We start from the raw sequence: 23,561 nt of genomic DNA on the forward strand, positions 1-23,561 counted from the left end.
TCATTGCCCTGCTCATTTCACTGTTCCTGCTATGATCATAGTAATTTAGTTGCCAGTAACAATGCACTCACATATTTTCTTATATTAATACCAGAATATACTTTGGGTTACCAATTCAGTACAGCTTATCTAGTAGTTGCTAAGTCAAGAGCAAACCAAAAATCGAGGCCTTAATCTTTATTTTAAAAATCCTTAAATTCCAACTTGTAAACTTTTAAATTTACACATTTCCTTTTTTTTTTTTTGAATTTTTAACACTGAGTCAACAGAAAAGATAGCCACTCTTTTTTCTATTTACCACAAAATGAAAGAACATTCACTGTTAGTTACTCCTAGAAATAACTATAGCTAAGCAGGAATGCCACTTCAGACAAGTGTAAACTATGAATGGAGTAACGTGTAACTTTATGACACCAAATCACCAAAAAATGCAATTTTCTTCATGTTCTAACTGGATTTTCAGTCAATCAAGTGGATTGCCCCATAGTTAATCCCACCCTGTCATTAGAATGGTTGAAATGCCAGACAAATTGTTTGGCAGTCAGTTAATTCAGGCCCTTTAACCACCAAATCAGATGAACCATGTGGCAATGCCATCTACAGCTCAACAATTACCCAGAGAAAAGATTAATCTGATTGTTCCATAGATGAGACCAGAATTACATTCTAACTATTTTGTAGTAACCATAATGGATTGGCAGCCGCAGACTGTTGATAACTACATTATAAAAACAAGTATCAAGCAAGACAAAAACTTGGAATAAAAGATATTTTTGAGCCTTATTTCACACATGACAAACAATCTGTATAAATAGGAATTACTCTCATCTCTTACTCAGATATAAACTTTCTGTAAAGCAAAGGACTTTATACACTCCCCAGTATTCTGACAGGAAGGGGTAAAAAAGCAAGAATCAACTGCATACACTGAACCTGAGGTGAGAAAAAAAAATCCACTTAGTAATATGGTAAGTAGTAATTAATGTGATAAAAATACATAGATTTCTTCAAAAACTCAATAACTGAAATCAATACCAAATTGGGTCACAATTTGCTATTGCTTCTGACCACAGATCAAATAAGAAGACTCTTGCTTGCTTAATTACCACCTCCTAAGAGAAATAAAGAGGTCTTTCATCAAGATTAATTTCATTTAGAGAACCCATCGGTGGGTGTTCAGGGAACAGAATGTACTTGAAGCAATGTCCCTCCACTTTGTTGGGTCATATCTCCACCGGTCCACAAGGCAGAAAGAAAAAATGGACTTTCTTCACTCGATTTTAGTCAGTGGGAGGGAACTGGAACAACTTAATCCTAATTTCACATTTAGATCATTCACGCACTTATGCAGAAGACGGGAGATATTTAACAATCTTTGTCATTTTACCAAGTCCATAGACAGGAAAACTATGGCTCAAAAATGTGTCCGCCCTCTTTAAGTAAGGATCAATCAAGGCTGTTTCTTCAGCTTGTTCATTTACATTTCAGAGGGCGCATCAAGCCAGTTCAGATATAAGTGCCTGTTAGCAAATGTGTTTGGCTTTCTGCTGATTACAGCAGCATCATTTATTTTGTCAGTATTAGAAACGTCTTAGCTTTGCCACCTGGAGCTATAGCACTTACTCATTAGACCCCTGTGTCCCACCACATCCCACAGGGGCTACTAATTACTGGCTTTACTCCATTTAGTCTCATCTCTGATTTAATTACTCGCACTAAGCCCCAGTGAAAAAACTGCAATATGGACCCTCTTACCTTGGCATTCTCCGCTCCGCTCCTCATGCCCAGCGTTGCATAGGCAGTTGCCAATGGGTACCAGCCATTCACCATCTGCCCCACAGTACATTTTTGGCACATCTTTCTCTTCTGAGTTGTTGACACAGGAGCCTCGAACTTCCACCAGGGAAGACGTATCAGCCCCTGTGATGGTGTCAGGAAACTGGGCCAGATTGCGGACTGTGAGTGGACACTTTTTATAGAACACACGGACTGATACCAGGGCGATGCAGGCCCCCACATCCTGAAAAGCCAGGTAAAACCCCTTTTTGCTTAATGGCCCTACATCCCGGATCTCGGTGTTCAGCTTCATGATTCTGTCACCAATGTCCACTTGGGTGAAGCTCTCATCAGCAGCAATGGTGTCAATTTTGACAAACTGGTTCTCTCTGATGAAACGCTCTTTGTCGTTGTCTGATTCATAGTAGTACAGGTTAAACGTCTCCTTGCAAGTCCCCATGACGCCCGGAAGACTATTGCAGTCCCTCAAGGTGAATTTAATCTCAATATACACCCTCTGAGCCCCTTCTCGGGTGATCCAATCAGTTCGTAGCCAGTTATTCTGGCTGGGTTCCATCACATTGCACACTTGGTAGGTTCGGATTGGTGTATTTTTTTCATCCATGATACTCACTTCCTCCCACTGCAAAGATCCAAAGCAGATGTATCAACTACAAAGTTTCATCATGCAGTGATTTGTCAATCCCATTTTATTCTCATAGGACACCTGATTATTTTTCTTTCAATAATGAAGCAAACTACTGAGCACCAATCATCACTAATAAAGGATCTTATGGGAGATAAGACAATATTTTATTGAGGAAGTTTTTTTTTTGTTTGTTTAATTGTTTCAATCTTTTGCCTGAAATCCAGAGGCAATGGTGGATTTACTGCTTGTGAGTTCTCGGCAGTTCCTTGTGGTGGTCCAACAACCTCAAATTCACCTATTACAACAGCTACAATTTCAAGTGGCAACAGTTCAAATTTACTCATAAAGGAAAAACTAGTATGGGTATTGTTTCAACCACTGAGCAGAGACCTGCAAATTAAGGGCAGGAAGAGCAGAGCTTGCCAAAGGAAGACAATTATCAGTTAATTAGTAGTGCTCCTGTCAGAACTTTGCTCTCTAATACCTCAAAAAAAAAAAAAAAAAAAAAAAAGGCAATTGATTTTTTTGGCACCCTCACTACTCTTTAAAGGTGAAAAGAAAATCCCACCATTCTGGTTTCAGTAATCCTAGGAAGACAGGGAGTAAATTTTATGGCTGGATTTCTCAAATATGCTATCATTTATAACAGTAGACAACTTTTCAAGACTGTGTATTCAATTAAAAAATTTGTACATGTTCTCATTTTTAAAACATAGACAAATAACAAAACTAGAAAACAGACATGCTTTGCTTCTAACTCTTCCGTGGACATTAAAAATAAAATAGCAAGTGCTGTTTATGACTGAAGGCCCAAGAAAATGAAAGGAGATGGTAGCATTTTCTTTGCATTCCACTTCCTAACACAAAGAATCTAATGGTAGGACAACTTGCGTCTACCACTGTGACTAAAAGTTTCACTGTCATTATAGCTTTTAAAAATAATCCGAAAAGCAGCAAAACTTTTGGGACTCCTACTAAGCTGGTAGGCAGCCTCAAATTCTTCATTAACATCTACAGTAATGCATTGATACAGATCTGTTATAAATCAGCTTAAGTATTTAACAAACATATGAATATAATTAGAAGGAACAAGAGATAGTTTTTTTAAAAAATTGTATTCTGTAATAGCTCCAGGTAAAGCTCCATGCAGTCCAGTGAAGTGCATAGAATCATAATGTATCTTTTAATAGGTTTCCCAACTATGCACTGGCAAACTCTTAATGGATGGAAATGTTACTATGTGAAGGACCATAAGCCATAAAATTCTGTATCCTTTTCATCTGCCACCATTATAAAAGTTGAAACTAGGAGGGGGTAAGTGCCCTGTGGTGATGAAAATTTCTTTTTATCCAGTAAGCAATAAAATCACCAGTAATTTACTTATTTTAGGAAATTCATGTAAATCCAAAAATAGATTCCCATCTTCAAAAACACCTACTCAGCATGCTTCTCTTCTCAGAACAATGGGAATTTGGAAAAACACATTTGTCAATGAAGGCACATAGGGTATCTCTACAGAGTTCATGCAGGATAATTCAGGTCTAATATGAACTTTGCAGCCTGAACGTAATTGTCTAACCACACTGATCAATTCACTGGAACAGTGACAAATCCTCCCTTAGTTTTATATTTCACAGTCAGTGTCAGCAACTCAATATACTCTTTTAAGTGAATATTACCAAGAAAGTAGCTTTTGGCTACAACGATGTTATCAGGAGCCATCACTTTCCCTAATTCTCATGTCTTGCTTAGTTGTTCTTATAGACAAACAATGGATTGTCTCTGATTCTAATTTATATTTTCCTTGGTGGTATTGTCAAATCAAGTTGTTTTTTTTTCTTTTTAAACATAACAACAAGAAATAAATGTCATTATCAGACCAAATTACTATCTCAAGTTAACAGTGAATAAAGACATTAAATGTCCTAACTGCAAGCAGAGATTTTAGAATGATCAAGACTCAATATGCTTTTACTCTCAGCTAGAAAGAACTTTTTAAAGACAATCAATCCATTCCTCATTGACAGATACCCAATTCATTCCTTTGCTCTAATCCTGAAAAAGTCCTCGTCAATTATAAAATCTAGAAATTAATTAAACTTTATAACTTGACACAATTTCTCAATGGCTACTGTGTATTTTGGAATGACTAATTCTTTTATATACAAATAAAATTATTTATCTTACAATAATGCTTAAAATGTTACATGCCTAATATTTAAGGAAAAGAAAAAAAAACCTGCTTATATCCAGCCCATTAAAAGTACTGGGTCGTATACAGTCAGCTCTGCATAGTTTTAAATAGACCTCAAGTCAACCAAGATAAGTTTTGTGTCTAGAAAAAGTGACCAGGTGCTCTTTCAGCAGCTCTGGAGAAGAAGAAGAAGGAGAAGAAGAAGAGGGAGAAGAAGAAGAAGGAGAAGAAGGAGAAGGAGAAGAAGGAGAAGGAGAAGGAGAAGAAGAAGAAGAAGAAGAAGGAGAAGGAGAAGGAGAAGGAGAAGGAGAAGGAGAAGGAGAAGGAGAAGGAGAAGGAGAAGGAGAAGGAGAAGGAGAAGGGGAAGAGGAAGAGGAAGAAGAAGAAGAAGAAGAAGAAGAAGAAGAAGAAGAAGAAAAAAATGTCTGCAGCATATTAAATTGCAATAAAAGCTTTCCAGAAACTAGATAGACTATGGACTGTACCCTAAAATGTGTCAGTCCTTGCTGTCATATAGCTCACACATATATTTAGTGAAACAAGTCAGGTTCAAAATTTGATTAGATGTATATACTCTCTTCAAACTTAAAAGCAGCCAGTAAGAAAAATAAGGCTCACTGAATTTATTAATACAAGTACTGACACTTTCCATCCTTAATTTTACCAGCAGTTCTAATACATTTTAACCTACCAAGCAATACCCCTGGTACATGTAGCCTGGGAAAGCCTCGCCTGAATCAGTGACCTTTCCAGGGTATAGGATTAACAATGAGTCTGACTCTCACCAAGATAAAGCCGTACCTTTCTTCACATTCAAAGGATGAGGGCAATTGCCTGCAATCAGTGGTGAATACAGCCTGTCTACACTGCCAGAGGCCTGCCAATCACTCCTCCCTCCTTTAAAAAGATGGTTTTAAGGGCAGACTGGAATTTTTCAGGAGAGAACAAACCAATGGCAGTCAAGTTCAGGCAGAAAAAATAGGAAGACAGGGCAATCTGTTTTATTTCAGGTGGATTACAAAATCTGTTTGCAACAAGACAGCCTAAAATTCTCCATTTTCATGATTATTTTCTTGCTTAGTCTTAGTTCTGAAATATGTCCTTGATAGCAGACTCTATGAATCTTTAATTTAAAATCCTTCATTCTTTATTCAATGGACCGGTGTGGAGCCCACGCCAGGTTCTAGCATTACAATTTTTGCCTAGTAAAAACTCCTAATCTTTCACCCCCATTGTTTTTAATCAATGGACTCAGCCATAAACTATCAAGCCTGTGAAGGTAGGATGATTTGTTTAATTTTAAAAGGATTTGAGAGTTATTTCAGTTTGGCAGAAGTCAGTTACATGTTGTACTGTTTTCTTTCCAAAGCTGATTCATTCTGACTGGTTATTTAGGGGGAGTAGGAGAATGTGGCCGTTGACCTAGTAAGATGGAGGCAGTAATGACAAGTATTACAAATTTGAGAATAAATGAAGTGATGCTTTTTTCAGACCTTATAATCCAGACTACTCAATCCCCAAAGATTCTTCAAGATTACAGACACATAAACTTTTCATATTTAGCACCATTAATACACAGGCTTAGGGTTTTTTGGACACAAGTTCACATGACTGTCTCTCAGTGTGCAAAAGAACAGCAGCTGATTTAAGAGTGAGAGCAAGGTACAGAGCCTTCCTGCAGTTCATGCAGGTACAATTAGAAATGTCTTCTCTCTCATATCTTTATTTATTCTTTTTTTTTCATCTGGAAGCAGGACAATTGCTCTTAAATTAACCTTGTCAGGACTTCATGGCCATCACAGTAATAGGCATAAATTCTAATTTGGTCCCCGGATCATATTTCCTGTTGGTATTTTAGTTTTAAATAGGCATCTAAGTCTGTGCCTCCACCAGTCTCCTAATTTTGAAACCCCTTTCTGCCCTTTTGGTTTCTAGTTCTTCCATGACAGAGTTATCCAAAGGGAGTATAGGATTTCTCCAACAAAGCGTAATTCACTTCATAGGCCACAGCGGAAATCTGACCCCCTCACCACAATCAACAAGAATCAAGCCATTAGGACTCTCAGAAAGTTGCTAATCACTCCTTTTTTACCCTTTGGATCAGAGAGCAACTCAGGACTTACCCCTCCTTCCAGAGGGCTTGCTATCCACCCAAGTTCTCCCTGAACAGATCTGGAATCCAATAAGGTAACTGCAAAAAACAAAAGAAAAATAGATGAATTTCCAATTGCAAAAAGCCAATAACACAAAAACCATTTGCCTGAGCGTTTCCATATGTGCTGAGGCTGTGCATATCCAACACTGATCAAAACCTAAACTTGGGCTCACTTATGTAAATAATCATTACTCATTTGATCTTCTCCCCCTCTTTAAATCTGCAGGTTCTTATTTATTCAACTTGCTTAACATTTAAAATTCCATCCTAGGACTCACTTGATTCATTTTTCTAAAAAGGATGAATAGAGAATCTGAAGTACAATTCAAAAAGATAAATACATCTATGTAGAGCAGTTACACTCCAGAGCAAAATCTGCATTCATCTCTGTCTGGTATCTACTAGAATTATTTGTTTTTGCAAGTTTCAGATGACCACATAACTCATCAGGGTGACAGAGCCACAAGTGAATTCTCTCTTCTATCAGAGAGTATCCTATCCAAAGGGTCAGGAAAAGGCTCTCCCTAACATTTTCCCTTCCACAACCAAGTAAATAGTCCCTGAATATGGTATCCGCTGCTTTTTTAAATATCAAAGTTTCAGAAAGAGGGAATGCCAGACGTGCAGAATCAGAATGCAAACGTACCGAAAGTATTCTCTCTTTCTCAAGATGTGTTGGGGGACAATCAGAGACTCGTCTTCCACCCGTAGGAAATCACTGGCTTGAATTTTAGGTATGGAGTGCTGCCTAACGGCTTTAGTGTGCTTGTGCTACACCTGAGTGCGTCAAAGCTTGGGGGGAAGGGAGGACAGCCCACCGAGCTGCGGTACCCCGCTCAGGCTAGAAGAGCGCTAGGTAAGGGGAACATCCAAAGGGACGCAATGAATTCAAAACCTCTCTTTCCCACCGAGATCTGCAGTCCTGGGGGTCGAAAGGCCCACCTCAAAGGAACCACTGGGTTATTAATTTGATCAGCCAGGCTGGCTCTTCAGGCTGGGGGAGGGGTGGGAATGGGAAGCCGCCATCCGTGCTCATGCGCACCCCAACACTCAAGCTTACCCCCAGACCCCTGGATTCTGCCCACTTTCCCTCTCATTTCACCTCAAAGTCAATGGAGTTAAAAATCAGTCTCTTTCCCCTACTTTTCCCGGGGAGTCTGAATTCCTGGGGTCTGTTAATGATTTTAAAATGTAGAGCCTTCCCTGGGTCGCTCCCGCCTGGAGTTCCCGCCCCCTTCCCTCCTCTCCTCTCCCCACCGCCAACCCCCACCGCAACCATTCTCTTCTCTCTGTCCCTAGAGAAAAGCCCGCTACATCCATTTGGATTTATGTAAGGTGGATTAGGGACACAAAGGAAACAATAAGACCCAATTTACAAAAAAAGGAGGGAGTAGAAAGGGAGGGTAAAAGAGAGAAAAGGAAACGTGATGGGAATAGAAAGCAACAAAGTGAATTAATTTTTAAGGGGGAGGTGGGGGAGGGGAGGGGAACAGACCTCCCTCCCTCCCCTTCAACATTAGCCTAGGGCTCTCAGAGCCTTTTTGTCTTGGGCTCCCAAGTTTTTCTCCCCCCCCCCCAAAAAAAGAGGGGGTTTAAAAAAAAGAAAGAAAACAGTCTCTACATCTGGGGCGAGAGAGGTCTCAGGGGACGTCCTAACAAGTGTGTGAAGTGGCCAGGAGAACGCGGGATCCACGATTCCTCTCAGGGGAATGAATAACCCTAGGGACCGAGGGGCGGCGACGGCCGAGATGGCACCAGAACCACCAGAAGCCACGTCGGAAGGAGATGGGAGATCCAGAGGGCGAGAGAGGGCCCCTTTCCTCCCAAGCGATGTCTGTGGGCAGGTGTATAAATCTCTCAGAGCCTCCGTCTGGAGGGCTCCGGGTACCGGCTGCCCAGCCAAGGCTAAGTTGGTTTTTGGCTCCCTCCTTCGGAACAGAGAAAACGATAGATTACACAGGGATGGATGGACGGATGTCTGGAGAGATGGAAAGATGAATGGATGGATGGATGGGTGGATGGATGGATAGATGAATGGGTGGATGGATGGAGGGATGGATGGACGGACGGACGGACAGATATATGGATGGATGCATTATGGATGGATGCATGGACGGACGGACGGATGCACGGAGAGATGGATGGATGCATGGATGGATAGATAGACGGATGGACGGACGGATAGATAGATGGATGCCGGAAAGGAGAAGAATGAGAGACGGATGTGAGACTAGATGCACGCAGGCCAGAGCACCAGCATACGCTGGAACAGAGCACGAGCATACACTCGAACACACGCGCACACACTCAGGACATCTGCGCACAGACATACAATCCTCCGCGTCCGCTTCCACGCAGGCATTCGCGCACCTACATACACGCAGTTGCACGCGCGCGCACACACACAGGCACACACACGCAGACATGCACACACACGCAGACATGCACACACACCACACATGCAGACATGCACACACACGCAGACATGCACACACACACCACACATACACACACACACACACACAGTTCGCCTCTCCCTGGGTTTCTCAGAAACTAAATGATCACCGCCCCCCCGCCCCGCCCCACCTCCCGACACAGACACACAGGCACATACAATCCTCCCAGCACGTCCGAACGGATGCACAGAAAACTGAGCACCCAGACGGGTCCCGTCGACCCCGCACGTTAGCTCTAAACTGTGTGCAATTCTGGGGCGAAAAGCTAAAACTCGACTGCGTTCAACTTGCCGGCGGGTTCCCCAAGTCTGCGGGGCGAAGAGCTCGGGCCCCTCAGGCCCGCAATCGCACCCTCGGGGCGCTGGGCTTGGCGAGGAGAAAGGTGTCTGACTCCGGGTGCTAGAAATCAGGTCACTGGCGCCTGACGAGCGGCGCCACGACCGCTGCGCTGCGGAGCAGGCCCCGCAGCCCGGTCCCGAGAAGCGCAGGGCTCGGGAAACTTTGCAGAAACCAGAGCTCGAAAGGCTTTCGCTAGAATCCGGGAGCACCAAGCCTTCACTGTGCTCCAGGCTGCGTTTTCCCCTCGCCCCGGGCTGGCTCAGGAGAGGACGTGGTTCTTGTAATTTTTTTTTTAAATCCCGGCGTTGTCTCCCGTGCATCCCCTCAGGGCGCCTCGAGCGGGCCTCTCTGGCGGATGCTGATAAACTTTGGCCTTTGGTTACAAACTTGGACAGACCCGCCGCGTGCACGGGTCACCGCCTCGGGGCAGGCTGTCCGGCGGTTCCCCGCTGCCCCTTCGCCGATCCCCTCGCCTCAGCCCCCTTCTCCCGAATCGGGACGCACCATTCACACTGGGCTCCCCCCGCACCACCTGGCCCTGCGCTCCTGAGGACCCCTCACCCGCGATGGCCCCTCGCTGTCCCCGACCACAGAAAGGCCGTCCCGCTCTTACCTTCATTCGCGGGGTATACCCTGGAACCTGTGACAGCGTCGCAAATCCCGAAGAGACACGAAAATAGGGCGAAATAGAAAATCCCAGCCATGGTTCGCCGGTGCCAACGCTGCTCCTGCCGCTTCTATCCCAGTGGAATAAATGCTTAAGTTAGGAGAGCAGCGGGCTGAAGACATTGCCAAGGGGGCGGGCCCGGCCGGTGACGTGAGCCCGCCAGTCCGGGGCCCGCGGCCAATGGCGGCGCAGACAGGGCGGCCGAGCCCCGCCTTCACCGAGCAGGGCCCGCCCCAGGGTTCCGCCCCCTCCGGGCTCCACGGGGCGCGCGGTCTCCCGGGGCTCTAGGGGGCGAGCACGGCCGGTCCCCGCCCCCGCCTGCCGGAGGGAGCCAGCGGGATCCCCCACGTTACCTCGAAGGTCGAGCCCCTGGACGGCGGAGGGACTTTGGAAAAGCTCGGAATTGACCGAGGGGAGCCAGAGAAGAGGTTGGAAACCTTTTCTCCCACCACGGGCGGTTTAAGATGGAGGAAAACGCTCTTTTATTGAAATAAAAGAAGTCTAAGCTGACCTGCGGTTGCTTCTTTAGGAGAGTCGACGTGTCTGCGTCCAGCGCGCCCGGGCTGAGCTGCAGACTCGCGCCTGCCACCGCCACCCTCTGCCACCTTGCCCTGTTTTGTCTTTATGGCGCTTCCCCCTCTGAAATACTCTTTGCGGGGAGTTTTGTGGCTCTATCACTCGCTTCTTCCCTGGCTCCCCAGATGCCTGGAGAGCGGGGACCTACTTGGTCCCCAACGTCCAGTCCGCAGCAGGGCTCCGTCACTGTCTCCAGAGACTGAACGAATGACTTTCTAGCAGTAAGGAAGTCCCCGCTGGCCCCGTCCCCCTGCACACGCCGTGGACCTCGCCCAGGGCCCAGGACGCCCCGAGATGGCCTTGGGCAGGGAACCAGTTGTGGATTTCCCGGGGGCAGGGTTGGGGGCAGTCCCTGGAACCGGGCCTAGCCCGTCTGGGAGCGGTGGGGTAGAAGTGAAAGGCTTAAGTGTGGGTGCGGGGACTTGCAGCCGCACAGACAAGGCAGACCGGGACTGGGAAGCTGCCCGGAGCGGCTGCTGCGACTCTCCGCTCCGACCTAGCCGGGGCAGCCCTCCCTGCCCCGGGAGAAGACGGCGAGCAGGAGGACCCGCAGAGCCCCGCCCGGCTGCTCCGGCCCCGGGGGCACTGGCACCATCGGGCTGTGGTCTTTTCCCGATGCCCGAGCCGTGGACGCGGCCACCTAAGAGCGGTCCGGCGAAGGCAGCGCAGCCGGTGTCCCAGGGACCGGTCCCCAACGCCACTCGGTGCATTTCCCCAGGCGCTGGCAGGGGCACTGATTCCTAGCAATGAGGCCTCCCTTCCCCTTCCCAGGCCGCCCCTCCTCTGACTCCCTCCAGAGCAGGGCCGAGTTTTCCTGGGGAGCCTGGGTCCCGGCGGCCGGGCGGCCGCTGGGAGGTGGAGGAGCCTCTCCAGCCCCGGCCGCAGCTCATCGTGAGCCAACCGCGCCACCTGCCGGCCAGATGCGGGAGTGTGCGGCCCCGGAGGAAGGGCGAGCGGACAAAGACCGCAACCCGCAATCCGCAACCCCGCAGAGAGGTGGTGCGTGCGTTTGGGCGAGCTTTTCAGCCACCGCCAAGTCTCGTGCACTAGGGCTACTCCTACCGTGGGGCTGCGGACAGCGCTCAAGAGGTCCTGGAGTCTGTCGTGACTCTCGCCTGCTGGATTTCAAAAGATGGAATCGGAAAGCGTTTCAAGGAGAAACTCCTAACAAACCTTCCGGGGGTTGCCTGAGTGGCTGCTCTCGGAAAAGCGGATCCTAAATAAAGCGGGAGGGTTATAGGGCGACGTCGAGGAGAGGACAGGTCTCGAGTCACTGCTACAGTTTCAGGTCACTGGGCTCCGCAGCAGATCGTGTTTTCTCCCGTGGCTCGAGAGCTGCGCTGGTTTCTCATGCAAACTCAGAGCCGAGCTAATGACATGAGCAACTTTTACTTTTACACAAGATGAGCACGCGTGCCGAGGCGCTGGGCGGCGGCTGTGTGAGTTGGTGGCCCAGACGAACAGCTTGTGCGAGACTCTGGGCATTTCGGTTTCTAGATACAAGATTTGCTTAAATGTCACAGTCCAAAGAAGTGGATTTCAGTCATTGTAGCTACTGATTGCACACAAGTAAAAAGGGAAAAAATATGTACTCGGGGGATATATGTATGTGTGTGTGCGTGCATAAATTATTTAAAATAACTGCACTAAATCCCTTTAAGAAATGCATTTCTGGGTTCTTTCATGTGTCTTTCTGAGTTTTACAGAAAAAGAAGACGAATATTGGTCCCTGTCATTTGGCACACAGATTCAAAAGAGAAAAGAGCAATCCGAATTCTTTTTGAAACCTTTTTAAACAATAGATGCTGGCTGCCTCTCTGCAGGATCTTGAGTGTTGCATGTATCTATCTGTGTTTGAAACGGGAAACTGACTGCCTGCATTGTTATAAACAGTAAAATTTCTAAAACATGTACCATTTTTTTCCCCAGGATATGCACATTGAATATTAAACAAAGTCTTTCCAGACACAGCTGCCTGAAAGCAAGGCATCATTTGCTAGAGTACATTCACTGACTTTCCCTTTTTTCTTCCTATGTTTTAGTTCAGGACCCAAGGCAGCCCGATAATCAGGAGAACCAAGAAGCAGGAAATGCTAACTTGGAAAAACTGAACTATAACTTCCTCTTTAAATCATTTCTGGGTTGCAGAACAGAAATGAGCTGCTGAAAATTCCTCTGTCCATTGTGACTACCTAGAACAAAGGTGTTCTAACCTAGCAGATATGATTCCTTGAAGAGTAAGGCAAAATTTTAAAAATGATGGTGGACAAAGGCCACCATCAATGCAGAAAACCACCCACATTATGGGAAGACAACCTGGAGTTTTCAAATGTTGGAGACTGTTTACAACACATCAACGGAGTCATAAGGATACAATGGAATATCATACCTTTAAAAAAGTACCTAAAATCACCTAATTTTAAAATAAAATTGCTTTACTCTTGAGTAAGACAAGTCTTACTACAGTAAAAATTTGGGGTTATTTTGAATACACTAAGAAACATGTCAAAACATATCTGCTTACACACTTAATGAAAATAGTAATTGAATAATCTGAAAACAATGATATACTTTTTTTTATACAGTGCCTACCACAAACGTTTGAGCTACGAAGTACCTTGTAAATGCTGAATTGAATTAAGATTGAATTCCAAAGGTGTTTTTAATCCGTAAAAGACGTTTGTAAATAGCACCAAGCATCCCGGGGTTTCCACCTGTATGTGGAGGGCCAATTTCACCAAAGTAAAGAGAAAGGAGCCTTTGACCCGTAGACAAATAATGATAAGGAGGGTGTATGAAAGACTGGAGAGACAGAGAGAATAAGAAGATGAATCCACTCTGCTTTTTCTAGGCATCCTGGTGGATTTTTTGTGAAAAAAATGGAACCTGCCCATAGTGCTCCAATGACTCCCTGAGTTCTCTTTTAGAGAACCAGAACTTTCAATTCAGACAACCCCAATTTGATACTTTAGCTGGGCTTTTTCTAGCTGTGTGTCTTTAAGTTCCTTGACCTCTCTGAGATATGGTTTTCTCATCTACAAATTGTAGATAGTTAACATTATATGGTTCTTCTAAATACTGAATGAATGTTATAGAGCTTCTGGTATAGTACCTGGCGTGTGTTAGCCAGCTGTTATTACTCATTTTTATTTTTATTTTTATTTTATGAGACAGGGTCTCACTCAGGTCACCCAGGCTGGATTGCAGTGGTGTGATCATGGCTCACCACAGCCTCACCCTCCCCAGGCTCACGTGATACTCTCACCTCAGCCTCCTGGATACCTAGAACTACAGATGTGTGCCACCACACCTGGCTAATTTTTTGTATTTTTAGTAAAGATGGGGTTTCACCATGTTGCCCAGGCTGGTCTCAAAATCCTGGGCTCAAGCAATCCTCCTGCCTCATCCTCCTAAAATGCTGGGATTATAGTCATGAGCCACCATGCCTGGCTATTGTTTCTGTAAAATAATATTTAATTAATAAGCATTCACATTTTGAAATGAGAAATCATTTGTTCAGCTTGAATTGTTCCTTCCAGAAGGAAACCAAGCACTGTGATTTACCTTTCGTGCTCCATGAGAAAATAAGATGCTTTATTTTATTAACTCCTAGAGTAGGGAAGGGAAATAAATTCTAAATTCTTCTCTTCTTTTATTGTTGATTTATGACAGCTGACATCCAACTTTTATATTCCTAGGTAATTCCACTGGATTTGGACCTAGAGGCTATGCTTGTCTTCAAATAGAATAGTGTAAAAAATACGTGAAAGAAGGTGTGAGGAATCCAGAGTCCCACAACCAAGTGGTAATGAATAACCAAAGCTCTACCTAATGAAATTCCCACCGTTGTTAGAAAACGCTTCTACCACAAGCTACTGCATCTTAAATATACAAATTTGACACAACAATTGGTGGGCTTCCGGAAGCCCCCAGGAAACCTAACTGCAGAGTTCATCCTTTGATGTCAAGGCTTTGATGCTGTTTGTTATGCAAATAAGAAGCAGGACACTTATGAGCCCTTTACACCTGAGTGGGAAAAAAAATGGCTGCAGAGCTCAGGTCTTCATGCATCAAGAGGATGAGAGAGCAAGACAAAGCAAGAGGCCTTTTTTTGTTTGTTTGTTTCATTTTTTTAATAAGTTGTTGGGGTATAGGTGGTATTTAGCTACATGAGTAAGTTCTTCAGTGGAGATTTGTGAGATCGTGGTGCCCCCATCACCCGAGCAGTATACATTGCACCGTATTTGTTGTCTTTTATCCTTTGCCCCCTCCCATCTTCCCCCCAAGTCCCCAAAGTCCACTGTATTATTCTTATGCCTTTGCATCCTCATAGCTTAGTTCCCACATATCAGTGAGAACTTAGGATGTTTGGTGTTCCATTCCTGAGTTACTTCACTTAGAATAATAATCTCTTTTGCATCACTGAGGTGAGGAGGGGCAGACAGGAAGGTTGCAGTTCTCAAGGGAGCAAGGCTTTTCTAAAACTTCATTTGATGCCGTCCGTGAATTTTACTCGGTTCTAACAAACATTTCTTCAGTGTCTACAATGTACCAAATCCCACATGAGGAAGAGGTCAGGAGATCAAGACCATCCTGGCCAACATGGTGAGACCCCGTCTCTACTAAAAATACAAAAATTAGCTGGGCAAGGTGGCGGGCGCCTGTAATCCCAGCTACTTGGGAGGCTGAGGCAGGAGAATCGCTTGAACTCGGGAGGCGGAGATTGCAGTGAGCCAAGATCGAGCCACCGCCCTCCAACCTAGCGACAGAGTGAGACTCCGTCTCAAAAAAAAACAATAAATAAAGAGATTTCTTCCTAGTCATGACCATATGTGATATCCACCGCACAGGGTTGTGGGGGCCAGAAACCATCAGGGACCTTTCCACCACCAGGGGCCCAAGAAGGAGGAGGAGAGACAGAGAAGGCATGTGCCAAGATGCTCAGTTCAGTTCTGTAATAACTCTAGATCCCTCTCAGGAACATTTTGCAGAGACAATGTGTCCTTCTGGAGGAGAAATTAGAGGAGATAATTTGCATCTCTTTTTGGCTGCATTGAGAAAATGAGTTAAAGTAAAACATCAGAACAATTTTATGTTTTAGGCATGAAAGCCATTCCCCAAAAGAAGTGTAAAATGCTTTTTACTTGAAACCTTTCAATATAACACCTCTGAACTGAGGTTCACTCATTCTAACTCAAAATGCCAACACAAAGCTGCAAGCCCCAGATATTAAATATTTTAGCTATTAAACACTTTTAATATTTAACAGCCATGTTACTTTGTGGTTATCAGAAGAGTTTTGGAATTATAGTTGTCTTATGATGAAAAATGAATAATATATGTGATACATGTGTGATATACGTGTGAATAAAATTAAGCTGGCACAATTTTTTTAGCCACTTTTTTTTTTTTTTTTTTTTTTTGAGACAGAATCTCACTGTGTCACCCAGGCTGACTGGATTGCAGTGGTGGGATCTTGGCTCACTACAACCTCTACCTCCGGGGCTCAAGCACTCCTCCCATCTCAGGCTCCTGAGTAACTGGGACTACAAGCACATGCCACCATGCCCAGCTAATTTTTAAAATTTTTTTGTAAAGGTATGGTCTTACTGTGTTGCCCAGGCTACTCTTCAACTCCTGGTCCCAAGTGATCCTCCTGCCTCGGTCTCCCAAAGTGTTGGGATTACAGGCATAAGCCACCAGCCATTTTAGCCACTCTTAAGGGAGAAATAATTGTCCGATCAGATCTCCAATTTATAGAGGTATTGCAATAGTATTCTGAAAAACAATGTGTAATTACGATACAATGTTGTAAGAAAGAAAATAATATGGTTATGAACATAATTTATGATTTACTACATAATGACAACGTAAGTTTGGAAACCTAACTTTTCCTTTCCCCATCATAATCTAAAGCATTTACAAAGCACTTATGTTCCAAACAAATATTTTGTAATTTCAGAAGATCTCTGAACATTCTAAAGATGTCTAAAATGACAGATAATGCATTTCTTTATGTACAGTACAAATCCTTTAGATGCTTGCTTAGATAACGGAATAAGTGTACTTATAAAGAAAATGTTACTTTTGAAATCATATTTATATCTTATTTCTTTAATCTAACCATTTGTACCAGTTAGTAAATAAGAAAAAGCCTTTTCCCTGCTAAAGATTATGCCTTTGACCATTTATTCAAATGGACTAAAGAGGGAACTCAGTGAAAACTCCAAGAAACATAGTATAGGCTTTTCCCGAAATTACATAGTATTTGGCTCCACAGTAAATTAGTGAAACCTTATTAAAATCAGTTGGACAAAAACTCTCTAGATACAGAAATACCAAAGTGACATTTATAAATATGGTTTGGTTAAAACTGACATTTTTGGGGGACTTTCTGGACATATTACATTTAAAAACAATGAAGAATTTATCTAAAATAAGTGTTAACTCAGGAGTCTATAGACAAAGATATGTCATACAACTTAACAATGTAAAGTGATATGTGGAATCACTTTCTCTTCGACCTTGGCTATCTCTGCACAAATAAATGGGCTTAATTCAGGCAAACAATGTGTTATTTGAAGTAAGAAGGTAAAAAGAAATTCAGTTAGTAACGGATCATTTGACTCAAACTGACATTTAAGGTATCTCAATTCAACCATTTGTTTTTCTTCATATTCAACTCCGTATGTATACGCACCCCAGGTTTTTCTTTTGCAGAAGAAGGAGTTAAAAATAAGGCATTAAAATATAGAGGATGATATTTCTACACCATTGATTATTTAAATCTGTGGCTCTATATAAAAGTAGCTTTTTTTTTTTTTTTTTTTGAGATGAAGTATCGCTCTTGTTCCTCAGGCTGGAGTGCACTGATGCGATCTCAGCTCACTGCAACCTGCGCCTCCCAGGTTCAAGCAATTTTCCTGCCTCAACCTTCCGAGTAGCTGGGATTACAGGCACCTGCCACAGCCTCCCGAGTAGCTGGGATTACAGGCACCTGCCACAGCCTCCCGAGTAGCTGGGATTACAGGCACCTGCCACTATGCCCAGCTAATTTTTGTATTTTTAGTAAAGACAGGGTTTCACCATGTTGGCCAGGCTGGTCCCAAACTCCTGACTTCAGGTGATCTGCCTTCCTCGGCCTCCCAAAGTGCTGGGATTACAGGCGTGAGCCACTGCGTCCAGTTTAAAAGTAGCTTTTTAAGAGAGAACACCCTTAGCCATCTCTGGCTGAATTGGAGGTTATGTTGTCCCAGGTTAGTATAAGTCTTTCTTTGTACATGATAACTATTACAGGATTTATCTCCTGAAATTTAATGCTTCTCTTTGACATTCAGGATTAACATGTATAGAACCACCCTTTTCATCTCTATCCCCTTTCTCTCCTACAGCTCTGATTTAAAATAAATTGGAACCAAAACATACCCAGGTGATTATGAGAGCGATTCCAACATACTTTAAGAGTAAGGTCCCACAGCTGCAACTTCAACTTGCCTATTTATATTACATTAGACACCCATCAGAGGTGATTGAACATTGGCAGAAAATTAATCAACTCTGTTCCATTAAATGGTCAGTTTGCTGCAGCTCAGGAAAGCTGGCCCCATTTCCTTCGTGTCTCATTATGTTCTCATCTGAAACTTGTATAGTTTTCATTCGGATTGTTGCAATTTAAAATACTCTGATAAATGCCTAGTTGTGTCCGTATTATTTACGGATCACCCTGGTTAAGATACTGAGTGAACTAAATTTGCAATGCAGAAATCATTGCACAGGTAGAAATCATAATGAATTGCAAAAGTAGTGAGGATCTTCAGGGTGCTTTGGGTCTTCCCACCTCTAGCTTTCTTTAGCAATACACTTCTTTTGGCACTTTACAATATGTGTATGTATGTGTAATAGATAGCCATCTATTTATAAACTAGGGTACTTGTTTTAAAAACCTGATTTAGATTAAGAATAAGATTAGCTGGCTTTAAAGCTCTTATACATAAGTACCTCACATGGTTAACAATCACTGTGGGCTAGCTCTAAGTCTGGAATAATCTGTGATTTAGAACCTTCCTCTTGCTGTATTCTGACTTAATCTGCTCAGTTCTTTGCTTTTTCCATGTCCACCTACACACCACTGTCCATTTTCCTGCAACCTTTTTGCTGTCAGTCAAGTGACAGCCTTGGATAGAATCTTTGTGTGCCAAGACCTCCTGAGGCCCAGCACCACATTTAGATGGAAAAAGCGAGGGGTGGCAGAAACACAAGGGATTCTTCAAACGCTGGGGGTGGGAGACTATTAGTGGGAGGTTTTTGGTGTATAGCTCCTTCAGAAACTGCTTTCTCAAACACACACAAAAATGCAAACACATATACCAAACCCCCACATCTGCAGCCTAGCACCAGTGTAATGTAAAATCATCCTGGAAGTCAACCATTCCAAGACTTGTTGAGGCAAAGAATAAAGCACCCTTGCTGTACTTTAACAGGGGTTGGAGCCCAAGAATAGCCCTAGTTTCTATCCTAATGTGAGTGATCCGATGTGTCTAGATTTCCCTTTCTTGGATTGACTGACTCTTAGCTGACCTGTAAGTACTAACATCTCTTCCTAAAATTACTTGGGAACATTTGTTTTTGCTAATTGGAGAGAAGCAGGAGGAATGTTCTGCTTATTACTTTGTACAGGTTTCACCCTGTATAATTTAATGTCTTAATATTGAAGGGAGGTTGCATCTTATAATACGAAGCCACACTTTTAAGACCTTTCTATTTGTAACAGTGCATTACTTCCCTGAAAAGTCAGATAGGTCATTAATACAAATTAGGTTTTGATCTCTAGAAAAAGAGCCTGAATTGAGGCATAGGCCTTATTTTTATTACTTTGTTTTTAGTTGGTGCCATCTGCATTCTGATTATAGAGTCTCTTAAATTTGACTTCATATTCCTGATCAGCTAAAGTTACAGGATCTTTATACAAAATGTTCCAAGTTTTTTCACTAAAACTACCAGCAACCTGATATTCTCTAAAAATAAAGAGATTATTTTCACCTTGTCATTAGAAATAAAATATATTTGCTTCTGTCTCAATTAAGGCACATGTCACCTGAAATATGTAATACGTTATAAGATAATAATATACTAAAATGAACTTTTTACATTAGCCATACTCAAGTTTTACTTTTCTTGTGTTTCTATTTCTGGGTTTCTTTTATTGGAGATAAGAAGGTATGAAAGTAAAAACTGTGAATGATATAAATTTGAATATTATGGTTTATCTACCTATATAAATTGTCTGTTTTGCCGTCTGTCTCTTACAACAATTGAGTTTCTCATCTAGCAAGGCAAAAGGCAAGCAGCAGTAGTTATTCAGGGGCAAGAGTATAACCAATAAACCTGAGCAAATAACTTTATAACCCTGGAGCTTATTTGAGATGTTAACACAGATGCTTGGCAAATCCATGGGGAATGTTTGGCAAATGTTTGATTCACCAATGCCTTAAACTTGTTAAGCATAAAGCTAATAATTACCAAGAAAATAATTTTGTGATTTTTTTTCTGAACATAATCTCTAAAAACAGTGCTTCTTTTTAATACTTAGTATAAAAATAGAAAAGGCTATGAAATGCAAAGAAGGCAAGAAGGCTGGGAAATTATGTGCACACACACACACACACACACACGACTGAAGTGTGGCAAAGATAAAGCTTTTAACATTTAAAATTAAAGCCATATTATTGATTACTCAGTTTACACAGATTCTTTTTCAAAGATAATTTACATATTTATAATTCTGTAATATGTTTTGCTATTCGTATTCTGATAAAACACATGCAGAATTTAAATCTAGTATCATTTAGTGTTCAACTTTTTTGACGGTTGATTAATTTTCAAAATGATGAAATTGTTGAGAATAAATGAAATAGTACTCGGAATTAGTATTTTAAAGCTCTGGAAACTCCCAATAAATTATACTTGGTTATGGATAGATATTGGCTTTTAGTAAGTTGTCTTCTTTAGTAAGATAAAGCCAAGAATAATATTGGTCTTTAGAATTCAATTTGGGTTGGTTTGGTGTATTTCAATACAAAGTGTACCCGGAGATTATCTGTACAAATATCACACATGTGCACACACAGGCACAAACTCACACAAACCCAGAAATACTCTGCAAGCCACAGAGGTTCATTATTTCCAAAGAATATGCCTGCTAAGTAATACTTCTTAGCTTCTAACTCAGAATAAAAGCAATTTATATAAAGGAGGGGGAAGGATGTTGGTTATTAAAGAAAAAATAGACTTAATTAAAGTCAGCACCTGTATACAATTGCCTCTTTAAGCCTCAAGATAAGTTATTGATTTTCTTTTTTAAATCCATATTATTAAATTTCTCTTTAATTCTTTCTTTACCGTGGAATACATATATTTTTTTTCAATGTATGTTCAGTGTATTTCATTTGGGAAATAATAATCATAAAAATAAGTTTCTGAATGTATACAGTATAGAGGGATATTTCCCTATATATATTTTCATAAATGATTAGTCTGTAACTAATCCATGAAATAAAATTAAAGTAGCTGATGGTGAAAAATTTCCCAAAACTTTGGGAGGTTTACTTTTTTTCTGTGCTCACATAGAATTTGCATTGACTTTCTTTATGGGGTCCAATCATTATAGCCATTGAAGGAACAAATTTAGATTTTCATGAAGTTACTTGCTTGCTGCCACACGAAAGTGAATGGACTTGTGTTATATCATATTGGACAAATGTGCCCACTTCTGTAAACAGGATATCTCATTACATTTCCTATTGTCTCTGCAGTCAACTTTGGGTTTCAGGAGCTTGAGGACTGTTTTCCAAAGCTGCAGACATTTGCTGCTGCTTCTAGCTGGTTATTTGCCCCCAACAAAGAGAGGAAAGGCATAAATCCCCAAACAAACACAAATAGCTTAGCTGATTGTTAGCAACTGTGCTTAAAAGTTTGATGGTTTTGAATAGCCAATTGGTGGTTAAAATGAGGTTTAGAGAAGCTAGGGCTATTCCATTTTTACCTTTGTTCTCACTTTTTCCAGGAATCAAAGATAATTTAAAATTGGCTGAACTTTAAAAATATTCTCAGAATTAAGCATTATCTAAAAATTGATTTCTTCTTGGATATGGCATAGAAGACTCACACACAGATGTAATGTTGGCGGTTTTGACCATTTGAGAGTAGCCTTGATTGCCCATGACATGTGATTTGTAACTTTATTGAGACTCACATTTGATTTCAGTGCTTTAAGGCCAAAATAGGGGAGGCAATCATTTGGAAGACCCTCATTGATCATTTGAATTCAGCTCTTCTCAGCTCTCATGTTCTCTGCTTCTCATCTCGCACACAGTAATTCTCTTTACTTTTATTACATTCTAGGAGGGAAATGTATGTCTACATGAGAGTTTCAGTTTCTTCATCTCTAAAATGGGGCTAACAATAGTGACTAACTCAGGACTGTTTTAAGAACTAAGTGAGACACTCTATATAAAGTCATAAACAGAGTGCTTGACACAAAATAATTGGTTGCTGTTAATATTTTTGCACCTTAATTTGTGATTCAATGGGTGAAGTCACAGGTAATTACAGTAAATCGTTAAAAAAAAGAACCATACATTTTTATTATTTAATATAATTGAAAGTTTTTTAAAAGAGTCTCACAAGTACTTTTCTACTGAAGAGTACTGTTCCCATTTGTCATTAGTCTTTTTTCTTTGTTCTTTTATTATAAATTGACAATTTATAATTGTATATATTTATGGGGTACAAAGTGATGTTATGACTTATGAATACAATGTGGAATAATTAAGTTAAGTTAATTAACATATCTATCAGCTCAAATGCTTATCATTTTTTGGGATGAAAACATTTGAAATTTACTCTTGTCGTAATTTCAAAATGTGCAATACATTATTATTAATTATATTAACCATGCTATGCAATCAATTAAAGAAAACACTTATTCCTCCTGTCTAACTGAGATTTTGTACCCTTTGTCAAGCACTTTCTTTTCTTTTTTTTTTTTTGATACAGAGTCTTGCTCTGTCACCCAGGCTGGAGTGCAGTGGCACGATCTTAGATCACTGCAACCTCTGGCTCCCAGGTTCAAGCGATTCCCCTGCCTCAACCTCCAGAGTAGCTGGGATCTCAGGCACACACTACCACACCTGGCTAATTTTTGTATTTTTAGTAGAGACGGGGTTTTACCATGTTGGCCAGGCTGGTCTCGATCTCCTGGCCTCAAGTGATCCACCTGCCTTGGCCTCCTAAAGTGCTGTGATTACAGGCGTGAGCCACCGCGCCTGGTCTCAACATTTTCTCATTCTCTCCACCCCCCAGGCTCTGTAACCATCATGCTACCCTTTGCTTCTATGAGTTTGATTGTTTTAGATTCCACCTATGAATGAAAATATTCAGTATTTGTTTTTCTGTGCCTGGCTTATTTTACTTAGCATAATGTTCTCCAATTCCACCCACAATGTTGCAAATGACAGAATTTCCTTCTTTTTAAGGGCTGAATAGTATTTCATTCTGAATACATGCCACATTTTCTTTATCCATTCATCTATTGATGGACACTTAGGTTGATTCCATAACTTGGGTATTGTGAATAATGTTGCAATGAAGATAGGAGTGCAGACATACTGATTTCAAACCTTTTGGATAAATACCCAGAAGTGGGATTTCTGGATAACATGGTAATTCTAATTGCAGTTTGTGAGGAACTT

The 23,561-nt window shown here is 41.9% G+C and overlaps 1 protein-coding gene across 4 annotated transcripts in view, besides 4 other annotated features; it reads right to left on the reverse strand.

Moving 5' to 3' along the window:
* The window catches only part of EPHA4 (EPH receptor A4), a 156,176-nt gene extending 143,949 nt beyond the window's left edge, over positions 1 to 12,227 (reverse strand). For 2 of the 4 annotated variants that reach the window (NM_004438.5, NM_001363748.2), the window contains exons 1-3: positions 10,183 to 10,329; positions 6,743 to 6,810; positions 1,756 to 2,419 (exon numbers count right to left, since the gene is read on the reverse strand). In NM_004438.5, coding sequence (NP_004429.1) covers positions 1,756 to 2,419; positions 6,743 to 6,810; positions 10,183 to 10,273 — 823 coding nt within the window. In that variant the 5' untranslated portion in view covers positions 10,274 to 10,329. Of the gene's footprint in view, positions 1 to 1,755; positions 2,420 to 6,742; positions 6,811 to 10,182; positions 10,330 to 11,985 lie in introns of those variants that run through there. The other 2 variants (NM_001304536.2, NM_001304537.2) reach the window with 2 other exon arrangements.
* Positions 10,285 to 10,704: a silencer, noted in NCBI's record as "silent region_12364". NCBI's record gives its function as "represses an Ori minimal core promoter by ATAC-STARR-seq in GM12878 lymphoblastoid cells {active_cell/tissue: GM12878}" and the evidence as "EXISTENCE:reporter gene assay evidence [ECO:0000049][PMID:35858748]".
* Positions 11,305 to 11,584: a silencer, noted in NCBI's record as "silent region_12365". NCBI's record gives its function as "represses an Ori minimal core promoter by ATAC-STARR-seq in GM12878 lymphoblastoid cells {active_cell/tissue: GM12878}" and the evidence as "EXISTENCE:reporter gene assay evidence [ECO:0000049][PMID:35858748]".
* Positions 11,635 to 11,794: a silencer, noted in NCBI's record as "silent region_12366". NCBI's record gives its function as "represses an Ori minimal core promoter by ATAC-STARR-seq in GM12878 lymphoblastoid cells {active_cell/tissue: GM12878}" and the evidence as "EXISTENCE:reporter gene assay evidence [ECO:0000049][PMID:35858748]".
* Positions 14,498 to 15,010: an enhancer, noted in NCBI's record as "NANOG hESC enhancer chr2:222441193-222441705 (GRCh37/hg19 assembly coordinates)". NCBI's record gives its function as "activates a minimal SCP1, AML or CMV promoter by ChIP-STARR-seq in naive H9 embryonic stem cells {active_cell/tissue: H9 hESC(naive)}" and the evidence as "EXISTENCE:reporter gene assay evidence [ECO:0000049][PMID:30033119]".

This window comes from Homo sapiens, chromosome 2, assembly GCF_000001405.40.
Source record: "Homo sapiens chromosome 2, GRCh38.p14 Primary Assembly".
Taxonomy (NCBI): domain Eukaryota; kingdom Metazoa; phylum Chordata; class Mammalia; order Primates; family Hominidae; genus Homo; species Homo sapiens.